At 31.5% G+C, this 13085-nt stretch overlaps 1 long non-coding RNA gene across 1 annotated transcript; it reads right to left on the bottom strand.

The window, feature by feature from the left end:
* Positions 1-2967: 2967 nt before the first annotated feature.
* On the bottom strand, positions 2968-11436 carry LOC102724863 (uncharacterized). Its single transcript, XR_428756.5, has 3 exons — positions 11346-11436; positions 7903-7996; positions 2968-6706 (listed from the first exon to the last, which is right to left on the bottom strand). It is a non-coding gene; the product is annotated as an uncharacterized LOC102724863 (long non-coding RNA).
* Positions 11437-13085: the final 1649 nt, after the last annotated feature.

Genomic DNA, 13085 nt, shown 5'->3' with positions numbered 1-13085 from the left:
ATTAGTCCTCTGTCAGGTACATAGCTTGTGAATATCTTCTCCCATTCTGTAGGTTGTCTGTTTATTCTGATGGTAGTTTCTTTTGCTGTGCAAAAGCGCTTTAATTTAAGGAGGTCTCAATTGTCAATCTCTGAGGGAATTTTTTTTTTTTTTTTTGCAGTTGTTTTGAGGACTTTGTCATAAAAACCTTTGCCTCGGTCAATGTCCAGAAGAGTATTTCCTAGTATTTTTTTCTAGGATTTTTATTGTTTTTGGTTATACATTTAAATCTTTAATCCATCTTGAGTTGATTTTTGTATACGGTGAGAGAGAGCTGTGCAGTTTCATTCTTCTCTAAATAATATTCAGTTTTCCTAGCACCATTTATTGAGTAGGGAGTCCTCTCTCCATTGCTTATTTTTGCCCTCTTTGTCAAAGATCAATTGGTTGCAGGTGTGCAACTTTATTTCTGGATGATCTGTTCTGTTCTGTTCAGTTGGTGTGTCTATTTTTGTACCAGTATCATGCTGTTTTGTTTACTGTAGACTTTGATTATTAAAATGTGTGATGTTACAAAAAACATCATACATGTTATTAATATTTTTCCTTTTGATTAAGTGCCTACATTTTTAAATGAAAAGTATTGATGAGACAGGATCTGATTTGAGGGACATATCACTTACTTATATTTACTCTGAAAACTACAAGTCATTTTTTTTGGCTGACTTCTATATTACTAAAACAAGCATTTCCAATAGTTATTTCCTCCAAAAATATTTATTGACAACTTTATTTATTAGGAATCTTCAATTCAATATTGATCTTTTCATTAGATTAATCTGTCTGCTCAGGGTACATTTATTGTCTGTTATTGCACATTTCTACAATCAAGAGAGTGATTTATCTTGACATTTTATCCATAGAATAATTAAATACCTGGATGCTTTATCAAACTGACCCTGAAGTTAAAGTTATTTTAATGGATACTTCAAATGTTAATAGGAACAAATGTCAAAATTTACTTTTGATTTATAAGCAGATGTATTATGTACCTATTTCCATACCAGTTTTTTCTTCTTTTATTTATTTTTAATATTTATGGATACATAATAGTTATACATATTTGTAGGCTGTGTGATATTTTAATACAAGAATACAATGTGTAATGATGAAATCTTGGTAATTGAGATATCCATTACCTCAAATATTTATCATTTCCTTGTGTTTGGAGGATTCCAAATATTCTTTTCTGGTTATTTTGAAATATGAAATAAATTACTATTAACTATAGTCGTCTTATTGTGCTACCAAATAGTTCATCTTATTTCTTCTGTCCAACTGTATTTTCATACCCATTAACCAACATAAGTATATATCCAAAAGAAAAGAAGTTAATATATAGAAATGATATCTGCATTTCAACATTTTCTTTATGCATTTATCCATTTACATACACTTAGGTTGATTCCATATCTTTGCTATTGTGAATAGTGCTGCAGTAAATATAGAAATACAGGTATCATGTACAGAAAAAGACAGGATGTACTTCAAGATCTGGATTAGAAAATATATGTGACCAACTCAACTTTGTTTATATTTTTCTTAGAAAAATGTGGAATCTGCCTGTGTTTCTTGATGGATTCTCTCCAGTTGTTGGAAAAAGAGTGAGAAAACATAGTGAGGTGATATAAGTCACCAGCACTAAAAGTAACGTCTCTTTGGAATATATTTGGTGCTAATTAGTCTTCAATAGGACAGTGTACCTTCCATTTAGGGCACAATTGAAGGTAAAAAAATTCCACACATGTCAGAAAAAAAAGGAGAAAAGAAGCAATATATCTTTTGGAATAAGCTGCTTGCAAGCTATCTTACTTTTCTGTTTTGCTGTCCCTGCCATGCTTCTGAGTGGAATCATGAGAAAATGAGTGGAATTTACTAAGAGAATACAATCACAGTTTTGCCATCATGTGGGTTTGCATTCACACAAAAAATCAGGCTTGGGTATTATCTAAAAGCAGCTGCAGATTAGAATAGCCCCAGTGTAGCTGAAGGAAGCAGAAATTGTCCCTGAGTGGGACCCATCCTCAAATCAAAAGATTTCCAAAGAATAAGATGAGCCATCTGAATATGAGCTTAACAATGAAATTTAGAAGCACATATGAAAACTGACCGCTGAGTGAGAATTAGAAGAAAAGAAACAATAGAACACAAGGCATACATTGTGGACTTGGAAGATAAATGGCTCTAAAGTTTTTAAGTAGGTTAAAATAAATGTTTTTTTTTTTTTAAAAAAAAAAGCTAATTTGTAAAAAATTTAAAGGAGATTCTAAAAGTTAAAAAAGGTAATAATTTAAACTAAATTTTCAAAGAATAGATTTTTGTAAATTATTCACAGATTCAAATATACTAAAACTAATTAACAATCAGAAAATACAAATCAATACTACTATACAATGAAATACCATTCTACATCTATTTATTGGAAAGTTTTAAAAAATTTAGTATAACCAGTATTAGCTAAAACATGTAAAAGAATTTTTTTATTTTCTTGTAAATTTGGAACTTTTCCTGACTCTCTGTTCCAAGAGTTTATTTCCAAATATATACAAGAGAAGCTATGGTGCATGTTCAAAAAGAGACATGTGCAATAATGTTATAGTTGCACTGCTTATAATAGCAGACTTGAAAGATCTCGAATTTCACAGAAGAATATATAAAGTATGTTATAATCACGCAATGGAAAACTATGTATAGGATTTTACATATATATTTATATCTATATAAATTTATACTAAACAATATAGATAAATCCTGCTGACAGTCCATTGAACGAAAAAAGTAATTCCAACAAAATTGCATACAACGTAATAGACTTTTATGAACTTCAGAAGCAATTTAAACTACATATATTATTTAGGCATGTCTATCAATCTGATAAGATTATTTTTAAAACCAAGGTCCTTACAAAGAGACACAAATAATGCTTTATGGTCTTGAATATTTTTTATTATATTGGTCATTTCAGGATGTATGCAGTAGTAAAATGTCATTGTATTATATAGTTAATATAGTGTGTTTGATTGTATGTAGATTATACATAATAAAGTTGACCAAAAAACAAGAGAATATAACACCAAATTTAGACATTATTTACCATTGCAGTAAGCAGAGGGATGGAAGACAGATGAGAACATAGATAGAAACTATTTTCAATGATTTACTTAAGTTGGCTGTTGAGTTTAATAATGTTTATTATATATTAAGTTAACCAACAAAATAAGGATTCTGTTTCAATCCCTAGCATGGTAAGAGTTCCTAGCATGAATGAGTATTGAGTTTTATAGAATTTCTTTTTTTCTCTTTTTGCACCTACTGAGTATATGGTGAGTGTGGTTTTTTTAATACAAGTTTGCATTCCTATAATAATTCCCACTTGGTCATAAGATTGGTTTTATTTGATGATATTTTGTTTTAGATTTTTGCATCCATGTTCATGGCAGAAATTGTTCTATAATTTTTGTTCATTGAAAATCTTTCTCAGGTTTGGTAAGATTTTTCTGGGAATGAGCTTATTTTCATCTAGAGAGATTTTTTTTTTCTGTAATAAATTTTCTGAAATTTGGTATTGTATTAATGTCTTCAGATTTGGAAGAATTCACCAGTGAAGGCATCTGCGCCCGAGATTTTCTCTGTGAGTACGTTTTAATTGTGTATATCACACTCACCAGGGTAGTAAAAACAAATGGCTGAAAATATCCCTTTTGTGAATACTAGACAGCCACAGAAAATCTTATACTTGGCTGGTACAAAATTGGTTAAAAAAAAAAAACTACTTTGGAAAAACAATTTGGCAATTTGTAGCAAAGTTAAAAATTCATATACCCAATTAGCAAAACCACCATCAAGAAGCACTAAAGTATATGCGAAATTTATGTGCATTGGGAAAAGTGTACAAGAATATTCATAGCAACATGGTCTCCAATAGTAACACCAGAAATAACAAAAATGTTTATTAATAATATTTGGACAAAAACTGTGATATATTTACCTAATGGAATAGTATATAGCAACAAACATTAAAGAATGGAAAAACAATTTGGCAATTTACAGCAAAGTTATGTAAATTAAAATTTAAAATTTATAAACATAACAAACAGCAAGTAAAAGCAAGAAATGAATAGCTTGGACATGCCTAAGTAAGATTCTATTTATATATGCAAAACTATAATTTTAAGGATCAAATTATACATGCAAGGAATATAATATTAGTAAAGTGCTTGTGCCTCAAGTAAGGAGGCAAAAGAGTTTGAATAAGGAAGACAAAGCAGGAAGTGTCTGGCATACATCCAAGGTAATTCTTCTTGACTTGGTTGGTGCTATGAATATGTTAACTATATATATATATTTACATGAACTCTTTCATGTATATTAAGTATTTAATTATAAACAATCCAAAAAAAGACAAAAAAATATGCTGTAACTGTTCAAATTACAGAATCTTTTTGCATCAGGGAAGCTCCCTTTAGTATTCTCTTCAGGATGAAGAAGCAGCTGAGAGTTATGCACATAAGGACAAGAAGGATGATCAATAGTGATTCCAGACCACACTGGGGTCCATAGATGTGTGTGTGTGTGTGTGTGTGTGTGTGCGTGCATGGAAATTAGATTAAAAATTGAAAATTTTCATTTCAAACTCTTCAAACTGCTGAAAGAGGAGAGGTGGTCAGATGGGTTGGAGGAACACAAAGTTGGTTTAGAAATAGAATTTTAAAAATCGAAAAAATATTTTAGACAAATATATAATTATTTTTATAAAGTTAACTCAGAGATAATTCTGTGAAATATGGTTAACATTGAAAACTAAGTTAATTCTAGAGATATAAAATAAAATTCAAAACTTCCAGCTAAGCATAAATGCAATTTATTGTAGAGATATTTGTGAGATAACGTCTTCTTTTAGCATAATTTTAAAAATCAGTTACTTCACTCAGGTATTGCAACAAAGAATTTACCAAAATTTTCTGCATGTTAGAATGCTCCTGAGATGTGTTTCCCCCTTTTCTTCCAATTAGCGTAACATCACACTTACATAATAACATTTAAAATAATTTATAGCTATGCATATCAATTTTTATAGAGTATCATTCTTCCTACTGCTCTAACCAATAACACATAATTAAAGGTACCTGAACTTAATGACAAACAGAAGTTTCAATGTAGGATAATGTACATATTCTCAATGTGTTATACTCTTGCTGGCAGTATTGCCTATTAATATGAAGCATTATTTAAATTGTTAGTTTTGTATGTTAATGAATATTTGGAGCAATTAAGTTATTCCTCCTTTGTGCTTAGAACTAATCATATATATTTATAATGTAAACATTTTTTACCCTAGAAAATGATGATTGATCATACTTTAGCTTAACTGTCATTCAATAAACTTCTAAGACCTGGTCTTGAGAGGACAAATCTGATTTCAGCTAGCATTTTCATGAATTGAGGTCTCTGTGTTACAGCCCCTTTGAAAAATTTCACTGGACATTATTTGCTTCATTATGTAAACATTTAACTGTATGTAAGTATGCTTTTTTAGTTATGAAAATCTCAAAAGTAACAGTTTGAGATATTTTAAGCAGATATTCCAGAGAATGTCTCTACCTCTTCATGAAGTCTTTCTCAACACTGTGGACTTGCTTTCACAATTGTAAAATCAGGCGTTTGGAAGGCCTTAACTTTATTTTCACCATAGTTGACATTTGAACAATGTGGGAGTTAGGGGTGCTGACCCCCCACACCCTGTGTAGTAGAAAATCTATACATAATTCCTACTCCCCCAAACCCTAACTACAAATAGCCTACTGTACCAAAAACTTTACCAATAACATAGACAGTCAATTAACACATATTTTGTATGTTATATGTATTATATACTATATTCTTACAATATAGTAAGCTAGAGAAGAGAAAATGTTATGAAAAGTCATAAGGGAGAAAATACGTTTACTATTCATTACGTGGAAGCAGATCATGATACAGGACTTCATCCTCATTGTCTTCAAATTGAGTAGGCAGAAGAAGAGAGAGAAGAGGAGGGGATGGTCTTGTTGTCTCAGGGGTGGCAGAGGCAGAAGAAAATCCACATTTAAGTAGACCAATGTAGTTCAAACCTGTGCTGTTCAGGGATCAACTGTATTTGACTTGCTTTAGTACATGTTGTGACTGAACATTTTTTCCTTCAAAAATATATAATTCTAAATTTTTAGCAAAAATTTGATCACCTTTGACTTCATGCTGTAAGATTAAAATAATTTGTTTTACCTAGGTTCATTTGTAAAGTTGATTTTTTCAATCTAACTTGACCAATTCAATTACATCTGCACCATCCACTCCATTCTCTGAAGAGCAACATGAATTCAGTTCACAAGAAATTCAGTTCATAAGAAATATTTCTCATCCATAGACTAGAAGTCATAATGCGTTTGAGAATAGGTATACTAGGAGAGGCCATGAAGGAGAAATAAAACAAAATTTCTTCCATAGTGTAGAATCTCATGTTAAAGATTTTGGAGGTAAGATAATTCATGCTAGCAAGAGCAAAAATGTGACAACCAGTATCCATCGCTAAAGTAGTTGGATCTACTAACAAACGCCACAGGAATAAGGGTCACCTATTTGGTTGTCAGAAGACATCAGAGATTGTACGATGGCAGTCCAGATTCCAAGTCTATGAGAAACATAGATGTTAACATTAGCATGGCTGTAAGAATGAGAATAAGATACTATCCAAAGGTAGTATATGTTTTATAGGAGTAGAAAATGTCAAAAATAAAAATATAAAATATTATATTGAAGGTATATGGGAAAATCAAACAAAACCTGGCTAAAACTTCTAGTTCCAAATAGAGATTGCAGAATGAAAGTCAGCTCTTGAGAGTATTATAAGTAAAGCAGTATTTTTAGGATAAATTTTTCTGTTAAAAATAGAGAATTGAGAGGGCTGATAACAGAAAATATTGATTGCATTTAATCCTTAGGGCATCTTTTATTTTAAAAACATTTTACTGATGCATAGTATTTGTATTAATTGTGGGATACAGGTGACACTTTGTTGCATGCATAATATCTGTAATGATCAATCAGGGTATTCAGAATATCAATAACCTTGAGTATTTATCATTTCTATGTATTTTATCATTTCAAATCCTCTCTTCTAGCTATTTTAAAATATACACTACATTGTTATTAGCTATAGTCACCCTACTCTGCTGTCAAATATCTAAACTTATTGCTTCTATCTACCTGTATTTTTGCACCTATTAACCAACTTCTCTTTACTCCCCACTCCTACATACCATTTTCAGCCTTATAACTATCATTCTTCTTTCTACCTCCAAGAAATAAACTTTTTTAGCTCCCATATAAGAGTAACAACATGTGGTATTTGTCTTTCTGTGCCTGACTTATCAAACAAATACTCGTGCTTCTTGTTTTCTGTAGCACTATTCACGGTAGTAAAGATGTGGAATAACCTAAGTGCACATCAGTGAATGAATAGATAAAGAAAATGTGGTATATATACACAATGGAATACTACTTGGACATAAGAAATAATAAAATTTTGTCATTTGAAGCAACATGGATGGAACTGGACATTGTTATGTTAAGTGAATGGCATGTTTTTGGTAAGTATTCTCATTATAACCATTTAAAATAATAAAACTGAGGTCCCAAGAAAATAGCCCTATACAAAATAGTAATGTCACATATCTGGGAAGCAATTTAGTTGGGATTTGAAAGCCTGTCATTATAATAATCACTATCTTGTATAGAATATTCCAGTACTTAGAAACAGTTTATTAGCTTGATAGTTGCTTCAATAATATTTATGAGAAAAGAATCTCAAATTTACTTAATGCTTACTGTGTAGTGACAACATTGCTGCTGCAAACTCTTCTTTTATTGACATACTGAGTTTCTTTCCTACGGAAATCTCTCTTCTTCTCTACTGGATCACCTAATCAGAAAGAAACATTCTATATTACTCAGCATCATTTTGATTAAAAGTGGTTGTTGATTAAAAAAAAGTAATTTTCATTTTGTAATCCCACTGGGTTCGGCCTATTCAATAACCCATCCAGGTACATACAATACACATAATGCAATAGTAAAAGAATGCAAAATAGTGCTAATTCAATCACTGATAAAAATGATGATTGTTAGCATTTTCCAAAGATAGCTTATGTCTTAAACACGTCTATTTAATCATAACATATTAATTCTAAAATAAACTTAAAATCCTGAAAAAAGTAACCAAATTAGAGATAATATAACGTGTATGGTTAGCTCCTGTGTAAAAAAAATTGACAGACTTTTTAATCCATTAAGCAAATTATACCTTCTTTATGTCATTGCTTATTAATTACATCTTAGAGTCAGAAAGTAGTAAGTACTCTATAAGCTATCCATTTACTTTACACATTTATTTAACTTCTTATGTCATTGATTGATGTGATTGTAGTTGTGATAATTTTACTAAATCAAGTACTTTTCAAAAATCTGTTTTTCATTTCCTCAAAATCATGCACTTATTTATCTTTAATGATGTAAACATAAGAATGTATAATGTTATTGCTGCAAATGAATCTGTCTTAATTCTCAAAAACAAGAAAACTAATAAATGTTAAATACCTCATATGAAAAGGTTCACATCATTCTTTTAAATACACTTGTCCATTCATGAGTTCAAATGTTGAATAGAATGGCATTAAACCATTTTTCATCTTGTCATTGCATAAATCATTTGATTGTTTGCTAAAATTATAGATAAGTGTAAGACTTGTGAATAGATTAAAGCCTAATTATGAAAATGTATCTGGTAGTCTTGTAAAAGCCACTATAGCATTTTAATGATAATAGCTAAAATTAGATCTATGGAGATTTTTGGAATTTCTAATGCTACGTCAAAGAATCTAAGTTCCTGTTAATACAACTGGCAGACAAAATCACTGTCAGTTCTCTCTCAGCAGGTTGAATGAGTGATTATTTTATTTTGCTTAATAATAACACTGTTTACCTACATTCAAATTGAATATATTACTAATATAAATATTATGAGCAAAACAAAAAACTAAATAAAAACAAAAGGAACTTCAAGAAAAGAGAAAATAAACAATAATCACTGGTGTTATTCTTTCAAAAATGACGGCATAGTAGAGGGAGAAATAGACTTCAATTAGGATTCAGAACATAGGATCAGTAATAACCAATTCTGAGCTGTTTGAATTATTTATTTTTTTCTGTACATCAATTTCTATGGAGTTTATCTTCCACATTTTCTTTATGCCACTCTTCAATATTCTGCTAGTTTAAATGATATTATATATAGCATTTTTTAATTGTAAAATATTTTTTACAATACACTGTTATTACTGCATGTACAAATTTCACTTATTCATTTTTGTAGACTAGTGGTCGTGAAAATGTCAAAAAATACTCTCAGAATTGAATGATGGAGATCTACCTATTGTCACAAAGTGCTCCCCTATTCCCCACCTCCTCACATAAACAAAGCCTGTCTTCATTAACACAAGTATGAGTCAGAGCAAGAGAAATAACAGTAGTATGGAGCCAAGGTCTCAATCTAGTTTATTAGGTTCAGTTCCCAATGTTCATGAAGGCTGGGACATGCAGATCTTGCCCCTTATTCTATCTCTAACATCTAGCACAGGCACATAATAGATTCTCAGCAAAAGTATCTTGAATTAATTACTAAATGTATGACATTTTGACGTTATTCAACGACAAAGGTAGAATGCATGTAAGGAAAGGCTGCCATAATAAAAAATACTTAAACCATTGGGAATATGTTAAAGAAATTGGCTACCAGGATAAAATGAATCATAATATCAAAAATGTCTCCAAATATTTACAGGACTGTCATATTGAAAAGAGATTGTTTATTTTTTCTCTGTAGAACAAGCAATAAAAAATATTGAGAAGTCATTAAAAAGTTAATTTTCTGTTCCATAAAATAACAATTATTGTAGCTGGTCAAAAATGAGATGTTTTCTGGTGAAAAAAGTCTGCTTCCCTAATACTGGAGGGGTTAAATAAAAGGTAGAGAATATTTGCCAGATTATCTACAAAGGAGATTGGTGAAGTAAGATAGGAAAGGAAGAGGGCAAAGAGTCAGAATATTTTCTGTCCACACCCTAGGCACAGACCATACTAACTTTGTAACATTGAAAAATGCCTTTCAAAATGTAATGTGCAAGTGAATCACAAGGCTAAACTTTGCTGAAATGTAAATTTGGGTCTAAGAGATCTGGGATGGGGCCTGGGATTCTGTATTCTTAAGGAGCTCAGGCTGTGGGCTTTGGACCTAACTTTAAGTAGCAAGCCAAATTAATATGTTTCTACCTCAGTGTTCCATACTCTATAAATTATATAGTGCTTGTTAGCATTAAATGCAAAAATTCCCAAAAAAGTCAACATATAATGGAAAATAGAGTGTATTTTTACTCATTATTATCAGTGCTTCTTTAGGATTGTATGATAATATGATTATTTTCTTTAAAAATTCTGGAATTTAAATATACATTTTATGACTCTGTCAAAGCTAACACCTGAAAGAAAAACTGATTATTTAATAGCTGTAGGTTTCACTCTTTAAAAATGTCTTCCTCTGGCCAGGGGGATGGGGCAGGAGGGGGCGGGTGCAGAGGTAACAAAGGAAGAATAGGCAGAGCCCAGAGGATTTTTAGGGCAGTGAAACCATTCTGTATAATACAACAATGGTGGATATATGCCATTATAAGTTTAACCAAACCCATGGAATGTACAACACTGAGAGTGAACCATAAGGTCAGCTATGGCCTTTGGTGATAATGATGTGTCTTTGTAGCTTCATCAGTTGCAAGAAATGCACCACTTTGGTTGGGGATGTTGATAATGTGGGAGGCATAAATGATGATTTCATTTTTGCCTAATAATAACACCGTTTAGCTACATTCAAATGGTGTATTTTACTAATACAAATATTGTGAGTAAAACAAAAAATAACAGTATGGGAAATCTCTTTGTCTTCTGATTTTTTGCCGTTAATCTAAAACTGCTCCAGAAACAATCTATTTTTTTAAAGTCATGTTCATTCAGCACCAACGTCTTACATATAGGCATAATGGATATTAATCTCAGGCAAAACAATGTTTCTTGAAATATGAGCTGCTAGTACATCAATAATGGCAAATATTGGTGTAGAATAAATAGCATTAGGGATAGAAATTATTTTTACAAGGAAAAATGAAAATAGCTGCATATCTGTCATTTAATGAAAGGAATTTTCAATAAATGGTGATACATACCATGTTAATGGATGTAAAGTCTTTATATTGCAAAAAGCTCCAATCATTCCCAAATTCTTTCATACCTTCAGCACGATTGCCATAAAAATCCTAAAATAAATTTGTGTGGTATTTACAAGCTGATTCTAAAATTTGTTGGTAATATGAAATAATTAAGATACTTTTGAATAAAAGAACAAAGGCTGATAACCAACAATTATCAATACATAAAATACAGCTATAATTTAAATAGTGATACATTAGAGTATAAAATCACAAACATAAATAATAAATGGAGGCTTTCTATGTGTAGAAATAATTTAGTATAGGGCTTTCATTTTGTTTTGCTGCTTATCCTCTGATACTTGTTTGTAAATCTGAAGAAAGCCTTGCATTTTGATATCTAGAAGACCTTAGCTTTATCTGTACTTTTACAATACATTTTAAAAGACATATGAGATCATATAATTCCTGTTTAACTTTTTGTTTTTTTTTTTTGAGACGGAGTTTTGCTCTTGTCGCCCAGGCTCGGGTGCAATAGCGCCATCTCAGCTCACTGCAACCTCTGCTTCCTGGGTTCAAGCAGTTCTCCTGCTTCAGCCTCACGAGTGCCTGGGATTACAGGCACCTGCCACCACACCCAGCTAATTTTTATTTTTTATTTATTTATTTTTTTTAGTAGAGACAGGTTTCACCATGTTGGCCAGGCTGGTCTCGAACTCCTGACCTAGGCCTCCCAAATTGCTGGGATTACAGGTGTGAGCCACCATGCCCGACCATTCCTGTCCAACTTAAAAAGAGTTTACACATTGATAAAACTGGAAAGCAAGCATTCCAAATATTAATTATAATGTCTGGGCACTGATAATATTTAGAACTTACCTATTTAGTTTTCAAATATTTATCTAATATCTTATGTAAAACACATATAATTAGAAAAATAATAACAGATGAAAGAGATTACACTGCAGCTTCAGAACTCCTGTACTAATAAATAGGAAATGTAAGAAATCTAAAAAGATAAAGTCTAGATAGCAAGATAAGTAGTAAAAAAGCTCTGTAGGTTAATCAAGTAAAAGATTGTATGGAAAACCAACATAGATTATTACAACTACAAAAGAAGAGACATATGTATTTTTTTCCAATGGTAAAATAATAGCTGGGAAACTTGACCACTTGCTAAACTGAACATTTCTCAAACACAGCTAAATGTAGTGGCACATCTCTTTGTTGTTATATTTTATGTGAATAATAGATAACTTTTCACTAACATGTTCAAGAAGAATAGGTTGTGATGGCGCGGTGGCTCATGCCTGTAATCCCAGCACTTTGGGAAGCCGAGGCAGGTTGATCATCAGGTCAGGAGGTCGAGCACCAGCCTGACCAACATGCTGAAACCTCGTCTCTACTAAAAATACAAAAAAAATTAGCCGGATGTGGTGGTGCACGCCTGTAATCCCAGCTACTTAGGAGGCTGAGGCAGGATAATCACTAAAACCTGAGAGGCAGAGCTTGAAGTGAGCCGAGATTGTGCCACTGTACTCCAGCCTGGGCGACAGAGCGAAACTCCGACTCAAATAAAGAAAAAAAAAAGAATAGGTCAAATTCAGATTGCCTGTAGTTGCACAGCAATGTAATAGTTGGTAAACCAAAAGCTAAGTAATAAAGAAAGCTTTCTCAGTGTATTCATGATTATACAATTTTCATTACTCTGTCATTTATCTATGATAATAAAAGAAGAAGAAATCCAAGAGAACACAT

This window comes from Homo sapiens, chromosome 10 (genome assembly GCF_000001405.40).
Source record: "Homo sapiens chromosome 10, GRCh38.p14 Primary Assembly".
Taxonomy (NCBI): Eukaryota; Metazoa; Chordata; class Mammalia; order Primates; family Hominidae; genus Homo; species Homo sapiens.
The sequence above is the reverse complement of the archived record's forward strand: the minus strand, read 5'-3'. Positions and strand labels throughout refer to the sequence as shown.